This window comes from Homo sapiens, chromosome 6 (assembly GCF_000001405.40).
Source record: "Homo sapiens chromosome 6, GRCh38.p14 Primary Assembly".
Taxonomy (NCBI): Eukaryota; Metazoa; Chordata; class Mammalia; order Primates; family Hominidae; genus Homo; species Homo sapiens.
This window is the reverse complement of record NC_000006.12, coordinates 73,192,343-73,218,262: the sequence shown is the minus strand read 5'-3', so window position 1 is coordinate 73,218,262 and position 25,920 is coordinate 73,192,343. Positions and strand designations below refer to the sequence as shown.

The following is a 25,920-nucleotide window of genomic DNA, read 5'->3' as shown; positions in this document are numbered from 1 at the left end:
TGTGGATCACTTGAGGCCAGGAGTTCGAGACCAGCGTAGACAACATGGTGGATCCAGTATCTACTAAAAATACAAAAGTTAGCTGGGTGTGGTGGTGCGTGCCTGTAGTCCCAGCTACTCAGGAGGCTGAGACAGGAGAATCACTTGAACCTGGGAGGTGCAGGTTGCAGTGAGCTGAGATCGCGCCACTGCACTCCAGCCTGGGCGACAGAATGAGACCCTGTCTCAAATAAATAAATAAATAAATAAATAAATAAATAAATAAATAAATACTCTACAATGAGGCTGGGTGCAGTGCCTCATACCTGTAATCCTGGTGCTTTGGGAGGCTGAGGCAGGAGGATCACTTGAGTACAGGAGTTTGAGACATCAGTGAGCTATGATTGCGTCACTACTCTGGCCTGGGCAATAGGTCAAGACCCTGTCTCTAAACTCAAAACAAAAGAAGAAAAACAAAACCAAAAAAACCCTCTGCCATCAGAAAATTATTGACACTTTTGGTTTCAGATGTGCCCATCTTGCTGTGAGTCTACATCCAGCATGGACAGGCAAAGCTAAGAGTATCAGGACTCCTCTCTTTGCTGTGTGTGTGCACCTTCCCATGAATATACGAAATAAAGATGATTACTTACTCCATGTGTTACACTTGCAAACCTTGCCTTTTTTATTACTCTAAAATATGAGGTAACCAAGATTGTGCATAACTAGTATTAGACAACTCACTGCACACCATCTCTGACTCTGCGTTTGTTGCCCTATGTGGTACTTAGGATGATATTATTTCCATAATTGTGCATGAATAATTTTTCCAGGGCCACCAGCTGGTCCTAGCTGGCTGCCTTCTCCTCCACCCCTGCTGACTATATAAGTGGTTTGTTATTTTTCAAAGATAATTTTTGTAAAACTTGTATTTTAGATTTTGGGACACATGTGAAGGTTTGTTACATAGGTAAGCTTGTGTCATGGGAGTTTGTTGTACAGATTATTTCATTACCCAGGTATTAAGCCCATTACCCACTATTTATCTTTCCTGCTTCTTTCCCTTTTCTTACCCTCCACCCTCAAGTAGAACTTAATGTCTGTTGTTTACTTCTTTGTATTCATGAGTTCTTATCATTTGGCTCCCACTGGTAAGTGAGAACATACAATATTTGGTTTTCTCTTCCTGTGTTAGTTTGCTAAGGATAATGGCCTTCAGCCCCATCCATGTTCCTGCAAAAGATATTATCTTGTTCTTTTTTATGGCTGCATAGTATTCCGTGGTGTATATGTACTAAATTTTCTTTATCCAGTCTGTCATTGATGGGCATTTAGGTTGATTCTATGTCTTTGCTATCATGAATAGAGCTGTAATGAACATTCATGTGCATATATTTTTACGGTAGAATGATTTATATTCTTCTGGATAGATACCCAGTAATGGGCTTGCTGGATCAAATGGTACTTCTGCTTTTAGCAGTTTGAGGAATCACCATACTGCTTTCCCAACGGTTGAACTAATTTACGCTCCCACCAACAGTGTATAAAACTGTGTATAAGTGTTCTGTTTTTTTCTGCAATCTCGCCAGCATCGGTTTTATATATATATATATATATATATATTTTTTTTTTTTTTTTTTTGAGATGGAGTCTTACTCTGTCGCCCAGGCTGGAGTACAATGGTGCGAACTCAGCCACCTGCTACCTCTGCCTTCTGGGTTCAAGCAATTCTCTGCCTCAGCCTCCTGAGTAACTGGAATTGCAGGTGAGAGCTACCAAGTTGGTGAATCTGATTTTTCCTTAATGCAAGCCGACGAATCTGATTTTTCCTTAACGCTTTAGCACAGAAGTTAATGGTTGCTTAATTTTACCAAAAAGGTAATATTTGAGAATGTGATTATCAACATGTACACAAAGCTACCTAGAAGATTAGCTTTCTTAGTAGAAATCCAAGCACCCTGACAATACTGGTGTCACTTATGAATAAATGTTTTGAAACTTAACTTTTTTTTTTTTTGCCTCCCAACATAAAGTCATACAAGGAAACTTCAGGAAATTAATAATTTATTTATAATTTTTTTTCTTCAAAAAACCCTTCAAAGTTCAGACACTAACACTGATGTGTAATACCAAATAGCTCCACAGGACAGATGGAAACAGGAAAAGTCAGATGATTAGCACTCAAAAGCAACAGTAATTAAGCAGTTGAAAGAGGATTGGATTGTTGGTTAATATTTGTGCATTTGAAAGAATCAAGTTGGAGATGTAACTTCTTGCAAGAAGGAGATTAAGTCACACTTGATGCTTCCCCTCACTGACCAAGGGACTGGGCTATCTTGTTAACTCTTTCTTTTCAGTTTAATTGCCTTCTGTACTCTAATTTTCTCAGAGTGTACACATACACATGCACACACACGTATACATATATAATATATACATACATAATATATACATACATAATATATACATACATAATATATACATACATAATATATACATACATAATATATACATACATAATATATACATATATAATATATACATATATAATATATAATATACATACATTTATATTATATATATGTGTGTGTATATATATGTGTGTGTATGTGTGTGTGTGTATATATATATTATATATATATATATATTATATATATATATATATATATTCTTTTTTTTTTTTGAGACTCACTTTGTTGCCCAGGCTGGAGTGCATGGACAACAAGCCCAGGCTGGAGTGGCATGATCTCAGGTCACTGCAACCTCCGCCTCCTAGGTCCCAGCAATTCTCCTGCCTCAGCCTCCAGAGTAGCTGGGATTATAGGCGTGTGCCACCACTCCTGGCAACTTTTTTGTATTTTTAGTAGAGACAGTGTTTCACCATGTTGGCCAGGCTGGTCTTGAACTCCTGACCTCAGGGGATCCACCCAGCTCGGCCTCACAAAGTGCTGGGATTACAGGCGTGAGCCACCATGCTCAGTCTCAGAGCGTATATTCTGTTTTATTTTCCCCCTGGACAGAAGAAAATCTGTTTATTTCACCCCACTTCTTTCCTCTAAGAAAAGACAATTCTCTCCAGGAGGAAAAGGAAAATCAGGAAGAAGGAGAGAGGAAGGAGGGGGTATAAGGGAAGATGAGAGAAAGAGAGAGAGACCGCGAAGTGGAACATCAGATTAAAGTAGAAGACAGAGGAGAGAGGGGAAGGAAAGAGGGAGCCAGAAGGGGGATGCTCCGGGCTCTCAATCTCAGGACTGTGCAAAATGATTTTCCAGGAGATGCACATGTGGTCTCATATTTCTCACAATAGTCCACCCAGGCTCCCTCCTCAGGTGGTCTGTCTCCCACTAGCAAAACCCAATATAGCCAGTCTTGCTGCCTCACCTGGAGGGAGGACCAGGACTTGGTGCCAGGTCTGGGTCTCTACTGCTGTCCCTGCACAGACTCATTTGAGGCTTTCACGTTTCTCTCCACTCTTGGGGGAACGGCCTGCAACAGGAAAGGCGTGTGTGGTGTGAGTGTTTTTCCAGGGCCACCAGTTGGTCCTAGCTGGCTGCACTGCTCTCCCTGACTACAAACACTTCTTTGAGGCAGAGAGCTCCTCTCTCAGCTGAAGGGCCTATGGGTATTACTCAGGAAGCAGCCTCAGGTTGGGGGAACTGCTGTTGCTGCTGCCATAGCTGCAGGAGGAAGAGGTGGAAAGACACTGGAGGGGTACTCAGTCTGGAATCTGATTTGTTTTTGTTTTTAGCTTTTTGTTTTTTTAGACAGGGTGTTACTTCGTCACCCAGGCTGGCCCGCAGTAGTGCGATCTCAGCTCACTGCAACCTTTGCTTCCTGGGTTCAAGCGATTCTCACCTCAGCCTCCAGAATAGGTGGGACTATAGGCGTGGGCCATCATGCCCAGCTACTTTTTGTATTTTTGGTAGAGATGAGGTTTTGCCATGCTACCCAGGGTGGTCTCAAACTCAGCTCAAGGAGGTCAACTGCCTCGGCCTTCCTAAGTGCTGGGATTACAGGTGTGAACCATCTTGCCTGGCTAGAATTTGATTTTTAAAAACTTTTTTTTGAGGCCAGGCACCGTGGCTCACGCCTGTAATCCCAGCACTTTGGGAGGCTAAGGCGGGCAGATCACCTGAGGTCGGGAGTTTGAGACCAGCCTGGCCAACATGATGAAACCCTGTCTCTACGGAAAATACAAAATTAGCTGGGCTTGGTGGCACACACCTGTAATCTCAGCTACTCAGGAGGCTGAGGCAGAATTGCTTGAACCCAGGAGCAGAGGTTGTGGTGAGCTGAGATCACACCATTGCACCTGAGCCTGGGCAACAAGAGCAAAACTGCATCTCAAAATAAACCAACAAAAAAAAACCCACCAAAAAAAATTTTTTTTGACACTTGCCCAAAATCTTAAAATAAAAAATCCTGATGGCTCTGTCTTCAAAATAAATCCCAAATTCATGCATTTCAACTGCTAGTACTCTAGTCTAAAACCTATTTTCTTAATTCTTTTTTCAAAAATTCAGGCCCAGGCTGGGTGCGTTGGCTGGTGTATGTAATTCCAACACTTTGGGAGTCCGAGGCGGGTGCATCACATGATGTCAGGAGTTCAAGACCAGCCTGGCCAACATGGTAAACCCCCATCTTTACTAAAAATACAAAAATTGGCCAGGCACGGTGGCTCACGCCTGTAATCCCAGCACTTTGGGAGGCTGAAACAGGTGGATCACCTGAGGTCAGGAGTTCAAGACCAGCCTGGCCAACATGGCGAAACCTCGTCTCTACTAAAAATACAAAAATTAGCTAGGCGTGGTGGCGTGATCCTGTAATCCCAGCTACTCGGAGGCTGAGGCAGGGGAATCGCTTGAACCTGGGAGGTGGAGGTTGCAGTGAGCCAAGATCAGGACATTGCACTTCAGCCTGAGCCACAAGAGTGAAACTCCGTCCCCCCAACCAAAAAAAAAGAAGAAAAGAAAAAATACAAAAAGTAGCCAAGTATGTGCACCTGTAGTCCCAGCTACTTGGAAGGCTGAGGTGCAAGAATTACTTGAGCCCAGGCAGTTGAGGGTACCATGAGCCGAGATCTTGCACTCCAACTTGGGCGACAGAGCGACTCTGTCTCCAAAAAATTAAAAAAGAAATTAATAAATAAATAAAAATAAAATAAATAAGTAATTAGATGAAATTCAGGCCCAAAGTCCAAAATGTTCAAACTATTAAGATGTCTTTTACTGAATTTATTGCAGTGACCACTGTTAATAAAAATATTTGCACTTTGAATTTTATTAAAGGAAAAATTAAAGGAATATTCAGTTTTGCTTGACATCCTCTAAACTTTGAGTACTCAAACATACTATGAGTTTTCTTTTGGTTACCAAACTAAGAATAACATAAAAAACTGAGAAGTCAAAATCAAAGTTGGGTTTTCCTAGGTTAATTGTAATAAAATGTGTACTTCTTTTTTTTAGATGAAGTCTCACTCTGTCACCCATGCTGGAGTGCAGTGGCATGATCTCTGCTCGCTGCAACCTCTGCCTCGTGGGTTCAAGCAATTCTCCTGCCTCAGCCTCCGGAATGGCTGGGATTACAGACACGCACCACGTGCCCGTCTAATTTTTGTATTTTTATGGAGATGGGGTTTCTCCATGTTGGTCAGGCTGGTCTTGAACTCCTGACCTCAAGTGATCCACCCACCTTGGTCTCTCAAAGTGTTGGGATTACAGGTATGAGATACCGCACCTGGCAAATGACATGTACTTCTAAAGTTAAAAAACCCTCTTGTTTATTATACAGTGATATATAACTATTAACACATTGATTTTAAAAAAGAAAATTAACCAGCTGGGTGCAGTGGCTTACGCCTGTAATCCCAGCACTTTGGGAGGCCGAGGCGGGTGGATCACAAGGTCAGGAGTTCAAGACCAGCTTGGCCAAGATGGTGAAACCCGTCTCTACTAAAAATACAAAAATTAGCCAGGCACGGTGGTGGGCGCCTGTAATCCCAGCTACTTGGGAGGCTGAGGCAGGAGAATTGCTTGAACCTGGGAAGCTGAGGTTGCAGTGAGCCAAGATAGTGCCACTGCACTCCAGCCTGGGCGACAGAGTGAGACTGTCTAAAAAACAAAACAAAACAAAACAAAACAAAAAACTAACCTTTTTCAATTATTAATTAGTGACATTCATAATGTACTTTATGGGGTAAAGTCCGTGGGTATTTGTTAGCGGCCTCCTTAACTCTCATGACAACTCTCCTTCTCTTACTTGAGTAGGGTGTGTTTGTGATTATTTGAGCTGTTTTAGGGAACTATTCATGCTTTGTACAGATATTTTGGAATCTCCTTTTTATAATGTTAATGCTTCTTGTTAACGATTCAGGTTTAAAAATATAAAGTAGAATTTTTCAAGTATTCTATGCCAGCACAAAATCTAAATTTACCATTAGTGTATGACCTTCTCCCAAAAGTTAAATCAGGCTAGGCGCAGTGGCTCATGCCTGTAATCCCAGCACTTTGGGAGGCCGAAGTGGGTGGATCACGAGGTCAGGAGTTCGAGACCAGCCTAACCAACATGGTGAAACCCCGTCTCTACTAAAAATACAAAAATTAGCCCGGCATGGTGGTGCATGTCTGTAATCCCAGCTACTCAGGAGGCTGAGGCAGAAGAATCGCTTGAACTCGGGATGCAGAGGTTGCCAATAGCCGAGATCATGTCATTGCACTCCAGCCTGGGTAACAGAGTGAGACTCTGTCTCAAGAAAAAAAAAAAAAAAAAAAAAAAAAAATTAAATCAGCTCAAGTGGCTGAATTGATTGTTCTCCTTCACTCAGCAAATAGGAGATTAAAAATGAAATATTTCTGTGTGATGGAGGGGCCTGGCAAAAATAAAAAGCAAATATTTATATAGGCGGTAGATAGGTGATTGAATTGTTCCATATCGGAGAACTTTGGAAATGGGGAGGTTTTCTGGCCTCTTCTGGAAGTCTCAAATCCACTTGGCTCTCTAGATCAGATTCAGATGGATTTGGGACATGATTTCATGGCCTGGTTTTGAAATCTAGGCCTCTGTCTTTGCAGCCTATTAATAGTATTAATAGTCATTTTTTTCTAGTAATTACTGGTATTGTATTTGACTAGTGCATCCTGTACAGTCTGAAATGCTACTGTGTGGTCATTATATTTTCACTATTATATTTTGCAACAAAATGTACATGAGAGACCAACTGTATGCAGATACAGACAATGTTGTCCCGATAAACTTGTGATCAGTGGATTCTGGCAATGGTGTTAGATCTGAACCCCACAGATGAAAGTCCTGATGGCTGAGTTTGTCTTTGGTCAAAAGGGGAGGATGATAAGTGAAAAAGTACCTAGGAACTTGCAGCTGGGAGCTGACAGGCAAGTTCGAATCTTCCCTACCAAACATAAACATCTCTTGCAAAATATTTTAACCAGTCAAGATTGCTTAGTGATTGTCATGCAACAAGATGTAGAAAGTCCACTCTATGTTTGAAACAAGAGAGATTTGACACTCTGTAATCAAGACCACATTAATCCTCCTACCTCCCAGATAAAGTTACCAGGATAATCAACAAATTGCCCCATTTTCAAAAACTGGTCCCTACTCCCTAAACACTCCTTAGACTCCCCTAGACAACTCCTATAATTGGCTCCCCACGACACGCTTATTTTCCTGTGTTGTTTGCTCTCCCTTGATGCAGCACACCAAACAAACCCAGTCTTGTTGGAGTATACTACGTGGTCACTCGGTGGCTGCCAGCACCTGTGCAAATCTAGGGAGCCCATTTGGAGCCTTCTTGCACCTCCATCCTTCAATCCTTGCCCTGCCTCCTCATTTGTCTCAGCATCCCTTGATGATCCCTGCCTGAATCAGTTCTTACACTGCTGATTGCAAAATAGTGACTTCACTCCAAAATTCAGAGTGAAGAAAATTTTTGATTCCGGGGCATCAGAAAAGCAAGCACTAGTCAGATGATTAAGTTTGGCATGAAAGGATTAAGCTCAGAGCAGATAATTACTTGGAATGAATTATCTTGGGAAGACCTCCCAGGATTGAACACCCACCCTAAGGTGGTTCAAGGGGCGGGTTGTTTTGGGTACTTATTTTAAGGACAGAGCCTAGGTCCTTCCTCACTTTTTTCAAGTCCTTTACCAACCAGTTGCTTGGACTTGCCCCTCTTCTGAATCAGGTCAGAGCAGAGCATGGCCATGGGAACAAGTGCCCTCAGCAAGAAGCCGTGGTAGACCCTGCCTGAAAACTTTCATGATCCAATGGTGTTTCACATGGAAGAGGACCAGGAGGAGCTCATCTTTGGTGAGTGGCCTTTGCCCACATCCCCTCCTTCATCCTTGTCTTCTCCATTTTCAATTTTTCCCTTCTTTCCTACCTTCATCAGTCACACATCGGTTCCCCCAAGGCTACCTCCCCACTCCCCAAGGGCTGGTGCTTGATAGACCCTCCTCTCGCCTCTTATGCTCACAGGGCATGGTGACACATACCTTCACTGCATTGAGGTGCACAGCCACACCCTTATTCAGCTGGAGAGTTGGTTCACAGCTACAGGCCAGACTCATGTGACTGTAGTTGGACCACATAGGGCAAGGCAGTGGCTGCTGCACATGTTCTATTATGTGGGGAGCCAGGACTCCTGTCGTCACAATCAAGGTAGGTATCCTTGGCTGAACTGTGGTGTGGAGGGTTTGATGGTGGAGTTCTGGCTGAGTTGTGTGGCACCTTGGATTCTTGAAGGATCCCTTGTGTGGCTGGGGAATCCAGGTGGTTCCTAGAGTTCACTGGGAAGGGAAGGGCTCACTTTTGTGATATCCAATTTTCAGGGAGTAGAGGGTAGTGGGGAGGTATAAATGGGTTACGTTGGAAGGCCTGGCTGGGGTGACATCCTCCCTGCGATGTCCCTGGTGGAGTCCAGGCCTGCCAAGGGCCCCAGTAATGGGCTCTACTTCACCAGCCCTGGGCACTTCTTCTGCAGGCCTCAAGATGCTGGAGCGTGTCCGGAGCCAGCCCCTGACCAACCATGATCTGGTCGCCTCCATTAGTGTGCCACCGTACACCAGAGACCTGTCTTTGGCCTCCAGGATAAGTGGAACCGTCTGTCTTAGCGTACCTCAGCCTTTCCCTTACCAAGTGATTGGTCGTTAGGTATTCTATTTGAGTTCACTCTATTCGTAATTAAGGACAGATCTCCCCTGGGAAGTGGGGATGAGAGGAGAAGTCTTGGCTTCACTTTTGGTGAGAAAGACATGAAAGACACTGAAGAAAGTTTGAACTTGTGGCGGGGACCTGTCCCTCTCAGGCCTTCTAGGCACGTGCCTGAGGGAAGTCTCCTGAGTGTAAGAAGTGTTATTGGCAAAGCAATCCAATAAAATAAGCTACCTGTGATGCAAAGCCTTCGATGTGCTGTCCTCTTTCCTTAGGATGAACTTATCCAGCCCTGAAGGGGATTCTTTGGGCAAGTGCTGAGGTCTGGGGAGGCCCAGCCCAGGGAAGGAGCCAGGCACACAAGTCGGCGCTTTCAGGAACTCCTCCTCTCAGGCCTGGAGCCTGGTTAGGCTGCTCTGAGTTGAGTGAAAACCAGGATTTCTAAAAAGGGACCCTCCTAGAAGCCCCAGGGTTTTCCTGGACCTTGAAGTGCAGACAAATGGGGAGAATGGAAAGGTGGGAGGAAGGCTCCAGATGGAGATTCTGAAGTCCCTCAAGCTGTGAATTAATCCATTCCAGAACTTTCTCCCAATGCCAAATCTACATTTGGATCTCTCTAGCCAAGATTATGGCAAGCTAAACCTGTCCTCAGTTGAACTCTTCCCGTTCAAATTTCTTCTTTCTCTAGCAGTCTGTATGTCTTATGAGGCAATTGCAGTCCTCTATCACAGAGCAACAGTGGTGACTTGGACTAGAGTAGAATGGTAGAAATGTTAGGAAATGGTTGAATTTGCAATCTATTTTGAAGCCAACAAGATTTGCTAATTACATGGTTTTTACATGGCCAGTTACCAAATAAAAGTTAGAAAGATCATATTCAAAGTATGAAAACACTTATGAATTTGCTCGAGGAAGAATATAACTACACTATTCTCAAGGAGAATATCATGTTTACTTTTAAATCTATAATATAATAATTGATGGCTCATAAACTAGAGAAAAAACTTATTTTGTAAAAGACGTGCAAAAAGAGTATTTTCTCAAGTTTCATACCACAAATGATGAAATTAATATTTTATATTTTAAGGCTATAATTCTCATCTCTAAATCCCAGTCACCAAAGGTTTCTGTGTGGGTACAGCTTAGGTATCATAATGGAGGAGTGAATATCTCAAACAGTGGCGTGAGATTACAAGCACTTACATAACAGCTCTACCAGTAGATGGCTTTATGATCTTCAGCAAGTCACTGATTTCTTAGTGCATTGGTTTTCCCACATAAAATTGAGATAATACTGACTACCTCAGGTGAGCAACAGTCTTTTGCCTGGATTCTTTTACCATCTTTCTTCTAATAAAACTATTGTTTCTTAAAAGCGTACCCTATCTCCCTAGCTCCAAAAGGGGAATGGTGATTGACATAATCAAATCAGGCCTTACACATTGTGATTCACTGGTCCAGGAATGAGCATGTGACCTGTATTAACCTAACCAGGTGTTAGGAAAGGATTTATACTCTGCACTTGAGTGGAGGGTTTCCTGCCTCCTCCTGTCTCTGGTTAGATGTGATTAAGAAGGTGTGTGGCATTAGTTGCCACTGTTGTCATCTTGTAGACAATAAGAGGAGCCACCAATAATATACAGCTGAAAAAGAGGACAGCAGAGACAGAAATAATCTGGAAATTTGATGATGTCATTGAACAAATTGTGTTCTGCCTGGAGTTAGCCCTACCTCTGTTCTTCCAGTTAGATAAAAATGTCCTTCTATCGAAGGTTGTTTCTTGTGGTAATGTGGTAAGGATTATAATTGATGGTAACTGGGAAGCATTTTTTGACACAATATTGGCAGTCACTAAGCCTGAGTTGTTATTCTAAGGCGTGGGATCCAAAGACTGTGTAGGCTGGGCTCTGGCTATGGGTGTGGCATTGGTAGGAAAGAGTAAAGAGAAGTGGGGAGCAGAAATATGGTGTTACAGGGCACAAGGACAGGGGAAGAGTAGATAGTCCTCCTTTTTTCTTTGGGGTCTACAGTGAGGTTTGACAGAAGGCAGTCTTTCTGATGAGCGGTCAAAGTCTAGGCATGGGTGTCATCTATGGGGTCTGACTCAGTTGTTTTGGGGTATGGGGAGGAGTACAGACCAAGAATGTGAGGTCTGAGTGGGATGGGAGTGGGGCTCTTTAGGTCCTAGTCTTGTAGAGACATGATTACTGGTTATGTGGCATTGACTTCTTCATGGGCCCCTTTGGAAAAGTAACAGACTATACAGTAAAGACCTTTGGGAAAAGTAACAGATTAAATTTGTGACACAGTGTGAGTAAGTCTTGATGATTGCACTTTCCTCTTGACTGCAGAGCCTCTGAAATTAGGGGTTGGAAGTTGTTGAAAGCCAAATAAAAGTCCCGGGGTGAACAAAACACTTTTGTTCATTAACATATTGAGTCCCTACTACATAGTACTGTGTGAGAAGCTAGAGGTATAATGTGAGTGAGATATCCCTGCCCTTAAGTTGTTTTAATCTGGGGCATTTGTGGTAACTTTGGGCCCTAGGGAAGATGTTCAGGAAGGACATCTGGGCTGGAGATACGTGATTGGGTGGGATCATTCTGCATTAGTAGTTGAAATCATAAGTGAGACCACCTGGGGAGAGCATGGAGCTCGAGGGAGTAAAGGGAAGAGGCTGATGGAATCCATGGGAACACCTACAGTTAAGAAATGCACCTCTCCCTCCCCTTCTCCCTCTCCCTCTCCCCACGGTCTCCCTCTCCCTCTCTGTCCACGGTCTCCCTCTAATGCCGAGCCGAAGCTGGACTGTACTGCTGCCATCTCCGCTCACTGCAACCTCCCTGCCTGATTCTCCTGCCTCAGCCTGCCGAGTGCCTGCGATTGCAGGCGCGCGCCGCCACGCCTGAGTGGTTTTCGTATTTTTTTGGTGGAGACGGGGTTTCGCTGTGTTGGCCGAGCTGGTAACCGCGAGTGATCTGCCAGCCTCCGCCTCCCAAGGTGCCGGGATTGCAGATGGAGTCTCGTTCACTCAGTACTCATTGTTGCCCAGGCTGGAGTGCAGTGGTGTGATCTCGGCTCGCTACAACCTCCACCTCCCAGCCGCCTGCCTTGGCCTCCCAAAGTGCCGAGATTGCAGCCTCTGCCCGGCCGCCACCCCGTCTGGGAGGTGAGGAGCGTCTCTGCCTGGCCGCCCATCGTCTGGGATGTGAGGAGCCCCTCTGCCCGGCTGCCCAGTCTGGGAAGTGAGGAGCGCCTCTTCCCTGCCGCCATCCCGTCTAGGAAGTGAGGAGCGTCTCTGCCCGGCCGCCCATCGTCTGAGATGTGGGGAGCACCTCTGCCCCGCCGCCCCGTCTGGGATGTGAGGAGCGCCTCTGCCCGGCCGCGACCCTGTCTGGGAGGTGAGGAGCGTCTCTGCCCGGCCGCCCCTTCTGGGAAGTGAGGAGCCCCTCTGCCCGGCCGCCACCCCGTCTGAGAGGTGTACCCAACAAACAGCTCATTGAGAACGGGCCATGATGACGATGGCGGTTTTGTCGAATAGAAAAGGGGCAAATGTGGGGAAAAGACAGAGAAATCAGATTGTTGCTGTGTCTGTGTAGAAAGAAGTAGACATAGGAGACTCCATTTTGTTCTGTACTAAGAAAAATTCTTCTGCCTTGGGATGCTGTTGATCTATGACCTTACCCCCAACCCGGTGCTCTCTGAAACATGTGCTGTGTCCACTCAGGGTTAAATGGATTAAGGGCGGTGCAAGATGTGCTTTGTTAAACAGATGCTTGAAGGCAGCATGCTGGTTAAGAGTCATCACCACTCCCTAATCTCAAGTACCCAGGTACACAAACACTGCGGAAGGCCGCAGGGTCCTCTGCCTAGGAAAACCAGAGACCTTTGTTCACTTGTTTATCTGCTGACCTTCCCTCTACTATTGTCCTATGACCCTGCCAAATCCCCCTCTGCGAGAAACACCTAAGAATGATCAATTAAAAAAAAAAAAAAAAAAAGAAATGCAAAACAGGCCAGGCGCTGAGGCTCATACCTGTAATCCTAGCACTTTGGAAAGCCAAGGCTGGCAGATCATGAGGTCAGAAGTTCGAGACTAGCCTGGCCAACATGGTGAAACCCCGTCTCTACTAAAAATACAAAAATTAGCTGGGCGTGGTGGCACATGCCTGTAATCCTAGCTACTCGGGAGGCTGAGGCAGAAGAATCGCTTGAACCTGGGAGGCGGAGGTTGCAGTGAGCTGAGATCATGCCACTGCACTCCAGCCTAGGTGACAGAGCGAGACTCTGTCTCAAAAAAAAAAAAAAAAAAAAAGTTAAATCAGCTCAAGTGGCTGAATTGATTGTTCTCCTTCACTCAGCAAATAGATTAAAAAATGAAATGTTTCTGTGTGATGGAGGGGCCTGGCAAAAATAAAAAGCAAATTAAAAAAAAAGAAAAAGAAATGAGAAACAATAGGAGCTTGGAGAAGTCTATAAAGATGACCAAGTCAGAGAGGTAGGACTGTGGCAGTGTAAAATATGTACAGTATTTGGTCTTAGTCCTGTTTCCTGACATACAGCTCCTAAAACCTTTGGAATCTGCAAATTGATGAGTGTCTTTAGTATGCTAATGAGACGACTGGTGGCTGGGAGCCCCTGGGTAGCTTCAGGACAGGGACTGGTCACAGGGAAGGTCAAGATGTGAATAGAGGGTTGGAACTTTTCAGCCCCACCTCTAACTCTGGGAAGGGTAGAGGGGCTGAAAGTTGAGCTAATCACCAATGGCTAATGATTTAATCCATCGCGTCTATGTAATGAAGCTTCCATAAAACCATAAAAGGACTGGGTTTGTGGAGATCCTGTATACCTTAACACCCGGAGGTTCCTGGAGGGTGGCATGCCTGGGAAGGAGGTAGAAGCTCTGCACTCCTTCCCTGATAAACTTGCCCTATGCATGTCTTCATCCATATCCTTTGAAATATTCTTTATAATAAACCAGTAAATGTGTTTCCCTGAGTTCTGTGAGCTGCTCTAGCAAATGAGTCCGATCCTAGGAATGGGTTGTAGGAATCTCGATTTATCCCTAGTTGGTCAGAAGCCCAGGTAAAACAACCTGGGGCTTGTGATTGGCATCCGAAGTGGAGGGCAGTCTTGTGGGACTGAGTCATCAACATGTGGGATCTAATGCTACCTCCAGGTAGATAATTCAGAATTGATTTTTTTTTTTCTTTTTTGGGACAGGGCCCAGCTCTGTAGCCCAGGCTGGAGTGCAGTGGCATGATCTCAGCTCACTGCAACCTCCGCCTCCTGGGCTGAGGTGATTCTCCTGCCTCAGCCTCCTGAGAAGCTGGGACTACAGGTGCCCGCCACCATGCCTGGCTAATTTTTGTATTTTTAGTAGAGACGGGGTTTTACCATGTTGTCCAGGCTGGTCTCGAATGCCTGAGCTCAAGGGATCTGCCCACCTCCACCTCCCAAAGTGCTGGGATTACAGGTGTTAGCCACCAAGCCCAGCCCAGAATTGAATTTAATTAGAAGACACTCAGCTGTGTCCACTGCAGAACTGATTGTTTGGCTGTTGGTGGTGTTAAAGGAAATTTATAGGAGCCCATTGATGTGGATTGAACTACTACTGCCAGGCCCAACAGACCAAACCACAGTTGAATCACTTATGCTAAACTTACACATCACCAAGCCAAAACTAAGTTGTTTGACCTTTCAAGAAATCAAGAGAGATAGAGACAATAACTAAATTTCCAAACAGGCCAGTTTTAGCCAACATGTTAAGGAAGTTCCCTTTGCTTTAACTTTTATGAGGAAATTAACTGAAACCAATCTGCATTTTGTTTACTGTTTCTGACCTTCTCAGCTCTTGTCAGTTTATAAAACCAGCCTCCTCTGCTTGACTCACTGTAACATTCATTCAATTGTATAGAAGGAGGTGTTGCACAATTTTAAAATTGCAAACAAAAACCAATTAAGATCTTCAAACTAAATTGTGTTGTAATTTTGTCTTTTGACAGCGGAGAGAAATCCCCATACAACGCCTTGGTGACCAGAGGTCACAGAAGTCTTCTGTGTCGATTGTTGAGTGAAAGTTTAGAAAAAATACTTTGGTTTTTTTCTCCATAACTTACAAACTGGAAAGGGGTGGCGTTCTAAAAGATGAGAAATTTTAAGAGAAAGAAAGAGTGATTGCAGTGTCCACTATTAAAGAAAAGCCAAAAGGGATGCTGGTTGAAGGTGTCCCTTGAATTAGCTTTTTTTTTTTTTTTTTCTTTTTTGAGACGGAGTCTCGCTGTCGCCCAGGCTGGAGTGCAGTGGCGCAATCTCGGCTCACTGCAGGCTTCGCCCCGCGGGGTTCAAGCCATTCTCCTGCCTCAGCCTCCCGCCTAGCTGGGACTACAGACGTCCGCCACCTCGCCCGGCTAATTTTTTGTATTTTTAGTAGAGACGGGGTTTCACCGTGTTAGCCAGGATGGTCTCGATCTTCTGACCTCGTGATCCACCCGCCTCCGCCTCCCAAAGTGCTGGGATTACAGGCGTGAGCCACCGTGCCCGGCCGAATTAGCTTCTAAGAGGTCACAGATGAACTTCTAGTGCAGCTTTTCTGTGCTGCTGGGTGGTCGTGAGTCTGACTGTCATGTGCTGGTTAGTGGGGTGGATGCTGTGGAAATGGAAGTACTTTATATAATTTATTTTATAAGATGCAGTTTGTTTCTAAAGTCAAGGTGGTGTATAGAGTAAAAAAGAGGAAGGGACGGCCGGGCGCGGTGGCTCACGCCTGTAATCCCAGCACTTTGGGAGGCCGAGGCGGGCGGATCAGGAGGTCAGGAGATCGAGACCATCCTAGCTAAGACAGTGAAACCCCGTCTCTACTAAAAATATAAAAAATTAGCCGGGCGTGGTGGCGGGCGCCTGTAGTCCCAGCTACTGGGGAGGCTGAGGCAGGAGAATGGCGTGAACCCGGGAGGCGGAGCTTGCAGTGAGCCGAGATCGCGCCACTGCACTCCAGCCTGGGCGGCAGAGCCAGGCTCCGTCTCAAAAAAAAAAAAAAAAAAAAAAAAAAAGAGGAAGAGAGGGTACTGGAAAGTTGTTGGTAACATGGGAGAGGCTTAAGCATACTTATGAGGGGAAAGGGTGAGATGCTGTAGATATGGGGAAGGGGAGGGGCAGCAGGTGACAACCAAGGGCTTGGGAACCCAGAGTGGAAGAGTTAGTTTACCCTAAAGGCAAGGAGTGGCCAGGCGTGGTGGCTCATGCCTGTAATCCCAGCACTTTGGGAGGCTGAGGTGGACGGATCACCTGAGGTCAGGAGTTCAAGACCAGCCTGACCAACATGGTAAAACCCCATCTCTATTAAAAATACAAAAATTAGGCCAGGCGTGGTGGCTAACGCCTGTAATCCCAACACTTTGGGAGGCGGGGGAGGGTGGATGACCTGAGGTCAGGAGTTCAAGACCCAGCCTGGCTAACATGGTGAAACCCCGTCTTTACTAAAAATGCAAAAATTAGGTGGGCATGGTGTTGCATGCCTGTAATCCCAGCTACTCCGGAGGCTGAGGCAGGAGAATTGCTTGAACCCAGGAGGTGGAGGTTGCAGTGAGCTGAGATTGCACCATTGTACTCCAGCCTGGGCAACAAGACCAAAACTCCATCTCAGAAAAATAAAACAACAACAACAACAACAAAAAATAAAACCCCAAAATTAGCCAGGCGTGGTAGCACACACCTGTTATCCCAGCTACTAGGGAGGCTGAGGCAGGAAAATTTCTTGAACCCGAGAGGTTGAGGTTGCAGTGAGCCGAGATCGTGCCACAGTACCCCAGCCTGTCTCAAAAAAAAAAAAAAAAAAAAAAAAAAAAAGAGAGCAAGGAGCTCCCATCCTGGAGTGGGGTTTGCCTCCTCTCCCACCAAGCAAGCAGAGGGATTTCTGGTAGCGGGGGTAGAACTGGGCATTGCAGCATTGGCCAGAGGGCTCAGATGAGGAGCGCCAGTGCCAGCACTTCTGAAAAGCATCTATGTGTTGGGGGTGTGCATGGTGTGATGTCCTCATGGCTTAAGTGAGGGTGAGTGGCACCCTGAGCTGCAGCAAGGGGAGGGTGTGAGTACCTAGTTACTTGGGGGGCACAGGAATGGATAGGGATTGGTGATACAGGAAGTGAGTCACAGCAATGCAGGCAAAGGAACAGAGAAGGAAGAAGCAGCAAGTAATGGAAAGAGATGAGTGTCACCAAAGATAAAAAAAGCTGCTGTGCACGGTGGCTCATGCCTGTAAATCTTAGCACTTTTAGAGACCAAGGCGAGTGGATCCTCTGAGCTCAGGAGTTTGACACCAGCCTGGGCAACATGGTGAAACCTCGTCTCTACTAAAACACAAAAAATTAGCCGGGCATGGTGGTGTACACCTGTAATCCCAGCTACTCAGGAAGCTGAGGCACGAGAATTGCTTGAACCTGGGAGGTAGAGGTTGCAGTGAACTGAGATTGCACCACTGCACTCCAGCCTGGGTGACAGAGAGAGAGACTGTGTCCAAAAACAATCAAACAAAACAAACAAACAAACAAAACCAAAAAAACCTAAAAAAGCATACAAGTGAAAAGTTCTAAAAGTAGGTGCAGGTGTTATGACAGTGTATGGAAACCCTAGAACCCTGATATCTATCCTAGAGCATACTGGACTTAAAATAGTCGCCAACATTGTGACAGAAAAGAAGTAAATCATATGACTAGGCAAAGAGTAATATATCATATCAATGTACCTTTGACCTTCCTATTTATTTGAACAGGAAAGTTTTGCCATTCACCAGTTTTTGTGGTGCTGTGATTTCCAGAGCAGTGCCTAAATCGATAGTTTGTGCATAATGTATCTGCTACGTTTCTGTTTTGAAATGTAGCAAAAACTTCAGTAATTTGGAATTAGGTGGGCTAGAGGGAGAAGTCTTGTCGCAGTTAATGAAAATTTGTTTTATTTAATTAATTAGTTTATTTATTTATTGAGATGGAGTCTCACTCTGTTGCCCAGGCTGGAGTGCAGTGGTGTGATCTCTGCAATCTTGGCTCACTGCAACCTCTGCCTCTCGGGTTCAAGCAATTCTCCTGTCTTAGCCTCCTGAGTAGCTGGGACTATAGGCGCACACCACCACGCCTGGCTGATTTTTGTACTTTTAGTAGAGGTGGGGTTTCACCATATTGGTCAGGCTAGTCTTGAATTCCTGACCTCAGGGGATCCAACTACCTCGGCCTCCCAAAGGGCTGGGATTACAGGCGTGAGCCACTGTGCTCAGCCTATTTTTATTTTAAAAACATTTTTAGATTTCTATTTTGTTTTCAAATCTCAGAGCTGTGTGAGATAAAATTTAAGTTTTTCAAAGAAACAATTTTTACTTGTACCAGATTCTCAAAGCAGTTGAATCTAGACTGATAGAAGTTGTCACTTGAAGATCTGGCAGCCCATTTTCATGAATGGTTAGGATAGAATAACTGTTGTAAGTATATTTTGCTTTAAATGGAAGGAGTGGGAAGTACTGCTAAAGTATTTCCAAAAATGTTTGGAAGCGGTTTAACATTTTTAAGTTGGTCAAGCAAGCATATACCATACACAATTTTCTTTTCCCTCATCTAGAAGTTGATAGAACAGGCACATAACTATTTGATCTCTTTAGAGCAGTAGTGGGAAGCCCTTTCTTCCCTCTAGGATAACACTCTGTAATTCTTCCTCCTGTCTAAAACATCTCTATCGGGCTTTGTTGCTTTGTATTCCAGAGTTTTAACATTCTGTATCTCTTTGAAAATAATTCCACTGGGATTAACCCTTGGCACTTAGTGCAAAATTGCTAGTGAAATAGAAAAAATGGGATTTTTTTTAGGGAAGAAGAAAAAAAGGTCCTTTTGGAGCAGAAGCCCTTCCCTGGTGAGGCAGAGCTGGGTAGGTGCTTAAAATGGTAGTTCTGAGTAGCCAGAGGCTGCAACATTTGGGCACCCACCTGGCCCCCATTTCTTAACATTGTTTAGCAAATCCCTTTATTATAGATAACACAAAACTCACATGCGTGGTATCTGAGTTACAATCAATTTCAAATTAATAGTTCTCACAAAAACCCCAGGAGCATATGCAAATCTCCCCCCTTCCCAAAATACCAAAGACTTCTTCCGTAACACTGCAAAAAGATAATTTTTATATTTCAGTCCAAAATCTGTATACAGTCAGTTTGGTTGACTTGGTCCAGTCAGTTCAGAACCAACTAGTTAGTTCCAGATAAAAATAGTCACACTAGCTGTTTATAGACATCTTTTTAATGTTTTACTTTAAAACAAATAATCCCAGTAAAAGAGAGCAAAGGAAATTACACTTTAATGATAGCTTGAAATGGATATGGTGTTCCCGATTTATTTGTTTTCAGGAAACAGACAATTGCATTGTCATACATGACTTAGAACTGCTTACTTAAATGCACATTATTAGATTAGATTAAGTTTCTCTTACAAAAACACAACCATGTCATTTAAGGCGAAAAATCTCAGCTTCTAGGGAGACAAGTTAATATTTATGATATTTCCTCTATCTGATTTAGTGAAATGATCCATTAATTTAGTTAGCCAGGTTTCATCATCCTTACAGTTTTGCTTTGCAAATGGCATGAGAATTGGTCAATTTGTGCCTGATTTCCTCCTCTCTAGTAGACTTATTTTACTTGCAAATTAAGAACTTCAGAATCACTGAATCAATGGGAGGTGAGAAAGGCACCTTAGAACAGATCAGGACTTAAAAACTCAATAAAGTTATTTTAAACAAAACTTGCAATCTACAAATATTAATTTAGTTGAACAAAATGCAAACATGTAGATCAGACATAGCAAAATTTTTTTAGTTAACCTCATACAAGGGATATTTGCAATTAAGTATTAGCTTGATCAACCCTACATGTTGAAGAAGGCAGACACACTTGTACTCAGAAAGCATATGGCTACTCAGTGCTCAGCTAAATTGTGCTTCAAGACATCATTAAAATTGACCAATGGAAATTTGCTTAGTGTAAATGGGAGACCCCTCTCATTTCCACAGAGAGTAACACGACAGACAGAACCTTATAGCTTCCACACAACTATCTTTTAACATCCCCCAATTTTTGTGCTAGAGTAAGATAGACACAAAATGGTCATGGCTTCAATGTATAAAAGTTTTTCACAACATGGTTTATCACATTTTGCTATGATTAAGACCTCAGTGCTGTGTGTAGGTTTTGTTTCTGAATCTTCAGTCGTCAGCAATGCTGGGTGAGCTGTACTGTGTTTGAGACTTAACGAGGCCTAAGGAGGGGTCCCCAATACATTCAGAATTCCTGCTGCCAGTGGGGTTTGACCCAGGACAGAGTATGTCCAAGAATCAGTGCTACCTGAAAGTTGCTGCCTCCCTCCTCTTCCTCTGTTAATAATGGGAGAGAGCCTGCCCAGTCACGGCAGGTGTCTGGCTTTAGGTCAGTGGAGGGGTGTGTGTGTGTGTGTGTGTGTGTGTGTGTGTGTGTGTGTGTGTGTGTGTGTGTGTGTGTGTATGCAACATTCTTGCAAGGGGGAATCACAACTTCAGGTTGAATGAAGATGAAAAATTGATTTTCATAATTTACTAACATTCTGTATTTTGAAAATGAAAACAATTGCTTAAAAGGATTGACAATGTCTTAACTGAAGTGTAAAATTTAGCCTCTATCTTCTATACATTTCCAGCAGCCAAAAAGATTCTAAATGATTCTAATTGTCTTAGAATCCAAGTGGGATGCGAAGAGGAAGCTTTAAAAATTTCCATGTTTATCAAAAGGGACAAGGTTCTAAAAGGTTGAGAAGCACATTTTAGGTAAAGCGGAGAACTGGTTGACCTGGGGATGGAGGCTGGTTAAGGCCTGGTGAAGTTCAGAAGCAAAATACTGGCAGGGAATGAATAAGGAGTTAATGAAGAAGAAAAGCAGGGGAGAGTCAATGATGGAGAAAGCCTGTTGGGGAGGGCTGGGGAGGATTGGTGGAGTTCAGGGCCTCCTTCTTCCTTTGAACATCCACTTGATAACCCTGCTCATTCTGCTTGGCTGCTGGAGAAGTACTTCTGGAGGCAGCATTTATGTCTGCCAAGGAAACAACTTCCTTTCTTGAGTCCTCCTGTGGCTAGGGTTTAATTGAATTGAAATGCTATCTCTTATGTCCTTTTTTTTTGAATGTCATTACGTTGGCTGAAGTTCTGGTGACCTAAGATAGCTAGATGGGTTTCTAACAAGCAGTCAGCATTGCTTGCTTTCTGATAAATACATTTGTCATTTTGTTTCCCTTGGTCTTTTTGCTGCCATGATATATTTAAGTGTTCTGATTTGCAGACTCTGCCAGTACTATCTAGCTTCTAATTGTAAATGTTTATATCAGGAAATTGAACCAGTAATTTCAGATTTGGGACAACATTCTTGGGAAGAATAGAAAATTTTCACTACAGTATAAAAAGTAAAGGAAGTTTCGTTTTAGACTTTCATATGCAAAATGTACACATAATAGCAAAAGACATTCAGGGCATATTAAAAAATAAATACCTTGCAAAAATTCTCTGCTTATATATAAGAATAAGGGAAGATTAGGTAGTTGAATTCCCTAGCAATACTCATTTTCTAAAAAGTCTAGTTCTTCTATTTTGGTTTGTTTCTCTCCCTCTCATTGCCCTTTGAGGGGGAAGTCATTTTCTTTTACTTTGCCAACTTCCTGGTGGTGTTTCTGGGTTCTTTTCAAGCCTTTCCTATCTCAGTCCCACTCAAATGTCCCATCCCCCATAGTCCTACCTGTATGTCAGCGAAATGAGAATAGCTTCTCACACTTGCCCTTTACATAGGCAGTATTGGCAAGCCTGGGGTTGGCGCCATTGCAGAGAAACCAGTCCAATCACAATGGCTGTTCTACTGACCAGTATTTCATACGCTTGTGTAGAAGTTGACCACTTATAAAGTTGATTCTGCCATCAGGCAATATGTTTTCATAAAGTCAAATATGTCAGATAGTCTATTTGCCTCACTGGCCCTGAATTTCATTATTTGCACATTTTCTAATTGAAGAACATTCTTGTCATAAAGAACAACATGAAAATGATGTGCAAAATTGCTTGCCACAGCGCTAAATCACCAAAAGCACACAAATTGACATTCAAATTACATTAATAATAAAATGACTGAATAGGAATGGGTTGGCAAATATATCTTGAAATAAGCAGCCATTTCTATTATTCCCCAATTCTGCTTTAGTTGATACCTTATTAGCAGCTGTTGATAGCCATTGTGTTTAAATATACATTATGGCCTAATCTTGAAAATGTAGTTTGTATTTAGTCACAAAGCAGAAATGCCTGAAATTTGAAGGTGTTTACTCCCATAATTTCAAAATACAGTGTCAAATCTTCTAAATGACCTAAACTTGACATATTCATACACCCCATAGCATTAGCTGTGTTTGGTTTCTCAGGCTTTTTAACTCAAGGTACATTACTAAATGAGTGGGTTAATGTCGATGCACCTTGGAATTTTAGCCATCCCTAAACATGCATTTTCATGCAATTAAAAGGTAACGGGCTTATAAACTGCCTTTCATGTTCTTCCCGATTCTTGCAATTTCAACTTTTTAGAAGGGCTTTCGAAATAGTTCATGCAATGATATGTATGGCTAAAGAACTGCTATGCCTGGAAAGAAAATGAAGAACTTATTTCAGTTTGACATGAGGCAAGCTGAGGGCATCTGTACTTTCTCCTGCCTTACAAATGCTCTGAGATGATCGTGACCTTCCAGTCCTTAGAGAGTCTGATGCAAAGGCAGCTTCCCTGGCAGGCTGCGGTGCGGCATCAAAAGTGTCTGTCTCTGTCTCTTCGGGACCCACCTCTTCATCAGTTATAAACAATTTGGATTCCCTCCATTTGGGGTAAAAATCTTGGCTGCCTCTGGAGCCACTTGACTCACTCCCTGAAAGTTGTATATTCAGTTCCTCGGTCGACCTGATCAGGTTTTGCACAGACAAAGATTTGCCCAAGTCCTTCGGCACCATGGGACAGACAGACAACAGAGTTTCTCCTCCCATGTCAAAGCTTTTCCTCATAGAACGGTCCTTGGTGAGATTTGACTGTGCAACCTGAACATTTTCCTTGGAGGCAACAAGGCAGGTGGTGACGTCAGAAATGCTTTCCTGTAAGCCTGCAGGGTTAGGGTGCAGAGTTTCTGGCCTGGGCAGATGCTTGATGGCTGGGAGAGGAGGTGGGATCTGTAAAGTTGTTGGGGCTGCTGGCTTGGGTGCCGTATTTATTTGGTTTGCAATGGTGTTGGTGGCTGCCACTGCTGAGCCATCGCTTTGACTAATTGGCACCTGTGTTGCTTGACTGTGCATAGTAGGGCTAAGCGCGTAGAAAGTCTGGGCACTGAACTCATTTGGCGTCAGAATGAACTGCAGGCCTCTCGAGATGTTGGCACTAGTTGATCTGGATAAGCAGCCACTGTTTTGTGCGGAACCCGAAAGATCTTTGCTATCCACAGGGCTTTGATAGTCAGATGTCTGTTCACATTCAAAAGGTGGGATCTGGAATGAAGCCAAAGCGAGGGCTGAGGCAGAGCCTTTCCGAAGGACCTGTTGATAGATGTCTAGTAGGCAGTCCAGCTTGGATTCTATGGACTGTACCTAGAAGTGAGGAAAATGGTTACACATGAGTATAATCTGTTATTAAGAATGGACTTCATTTTTTAATTTTGAAAAATGAAGTCAAGGTGTGCCAACACATTTAAAGAAATATTGAATATAAAGTACGATGCAGTCTTGACCCTTAGTGAATGTAACATTTAGCAATGATGGGGCCAGAGGAGGACTTAGGAAGAGAGGGACACTTTGGCTTCTATACAGTCTTTATTAGCATCTCTCCCCCACCACTTCTTTAAATAGTGCCTCTTAAAAGTCATATAAGCACTATAAAAATGCAACTTTAAGACTTTCCATTCCAGGCTGGGTGCAGTGGCTCATGCCTGTAATGCCAGCACTTTGGGAAACTGAGGCAGGAGAATTGAGCCCAGGAGTTTGAGACCAGCCTGGGCAACATGGTGAGACCTCGTCTCTACCAAAAATAATACAAAAATCAGCCAGGTGTGGTGGTGCATGCCCATAGTCCCAGCTGCTAGGAAGGCTGAGTTGGGAGGATTGACTGAGCCCAGGAGGTAGAGGCTGCAGTGAGCCATGATTGTGCCACTGCACTTCAGCCTGGGTGACAGAGAAGTCCCTGTCTGAAAAAAAAAAAAAAAAAAAGACTTCCCATTCCTGTCAGATTGTCTTTCCTAAGTCTCCTCTATGAAGACATTCTGAAACTCTACAGAAATCTAGTAAGGAACTTATTCTATAATGAAACCAATACCTTAAGCATCAATCTAGGTGATTCTGAATTTAAAGTTACATAAAAAAATAAAGGTACAAAATGCTCCGGAATTAATATATGAAGTATTTTTTATTAAATTGGGGGAGCCATTTGATTTCTGGAAAATTGTCTTTGTATATGAAGATGCAACAGACTTGAGGTTAACAAACATTCAATGTGTCATCAGAATTATAATAAAGTTTTATTTTTATTTATTTTATATTTTATTTTATTTTATTTTATTTTATTTTATTTTATTTTATTTTTAGTAGAGACAGGGTTTCACCATGTTGGTCAGGTTGGTCTTGAACTCCTGACCTTGTGATCTGCCCGCCTCGGCCTCCAAAAGTGTTAGGACTACAGGCATGAGCCACCACACCCGGCCTTGTTTTACTTTTAAAAGGAGTGACCTGCAGAGTGCTATGGCTCACGCCTGTAATCTCAGCACTTTGGGAGGCCAAGGCAAGCGGATCACTTGAGGTCAGGAGTTTGAGACAAGCCTGGCCAACATGGTGAAACCTGTCTCTACTAAAAATACAAAAATTCGCCGGTCTTGGTGGCGCATGCCTGTAATCCCATCTACTTGGGAGGCTGAGGCACGAGAATCACTTGAACCCAGGAGGCGGAGGTTGCAGTGAGCTGGGAGCATGCCACTACACTCCAGCCTGGGCAATAGAGTGAGACTCTGTCTCAAAAAAAAAAAAAAAAAAATTAATGACCTAAAAAAGAAACAATAAAAACAACTGAAACACAAATGAAGAATAGATCTTTGTTATTTTTAAACGATTTTCAACTATTGGAAATCTATAGTTGTTTCCAATTAACTATTAATTGATGAGATGAGATTTTCTATTCCTTAAAGGGAAATCCAGAGTGTTTCAGAGAGCACTGTCTACACACAAAGAAAATTTAATTTTATTCACTCTTTTTGTGATTTTATTTATTTTAAAATAATCACTGGAATACATACAATTGCCTATAATAAATTTTGATTAAAAAAATTCTGGCTAAAAAGATACCCAGCGTAGTTGAGTTGTACCTGTTTTTCAACCTTGACCACCCGACCGAGCATACTGAGATCGTCTGTGGTCTCATGTTCTGCTGTTATTTTCTCTCGGCTCTTCTTATCTGATGTGATTTGCCCTTTTCCAAGAATTTGATCAACACTATCAGAGAAAGAGGAGATCTGATTATGAGGGCTGAAGGTGGAGATTGCCCTAGGTCAGAATGAAGAGTTTTGGAAAAAAAAATTAAATACAGTTATCTTCAATTTATGTAAGATGAAATAAGAAAGAACTTGTTCCAGTTGATATGCTTATTTGAACATGAGATTACACATGAAATTAATTTTCTCATTATTCTGGTCCAAGATGAAATCACTTATGGGT

The 25,920-nt window shown here is 43.3% G+C and overlaps 1 protein-coding gene and 1 pseudogene across 6 annotated transcripts in view, besides 1 other annotated feature; one reads left to right on the top strand and one right to left on the bottom strand.

Moving 5' to 3' along the window:
* The first annotated feature begins 8,195 nt into the window (after nt 1–8,195).
* On the top strand, nt 8,196–9,340 carry KHDC1P1 (KH domain containing 1 pseudogene 1; annotated as a pseudogene).
* Nucleotides 13,310–14,131: an enhancer, noted in NCBI's record as "OCT4-NANOG-H3K27ac hESC enhancer chr6:73913855-73914676 (GRCh37/hg19 assembly coordinates)". NCBI's record gives its function as "activates a minimal SCP1, AML or CMV promoter by ChIP-STARR-seq in naive H9 embryonic stem cells {active_cell/tissue: H9 hESC(naive)}" and the evidence as "EXISTENCE:reporter gene assay evidence [ECO:0000049][PMID:30033119]".
* Nucleotides 19,410–25,920, bottom strand: part of KCNQ5 (potassium voltage-gated channel subfamily Q member 5) — a 576,790-nt gene continuing 570,279 nt past the window's right edge. For all 6 annotated transcript variants that reach the window (NM_001160133.2, NM_019842.4, NM_001160134.2 and 3 more), the window contains 2 exons: nt 25,572–25,698; nt 19,410–23,811 (listed from right to left, as the gene is read on the bottom strand). In NM_001160133.2, the coding sequence (NP_001153605.1) occupies nt 22,849–23,811; nt 25,572–25,698 (1,090 nt within the window). In that variant the 3' untranslated portion in view covers nt 19,410–22,848. The remainder of the gene's footprint in view (nt 23,812–25,571; nt 25,699–25,920) is intronic.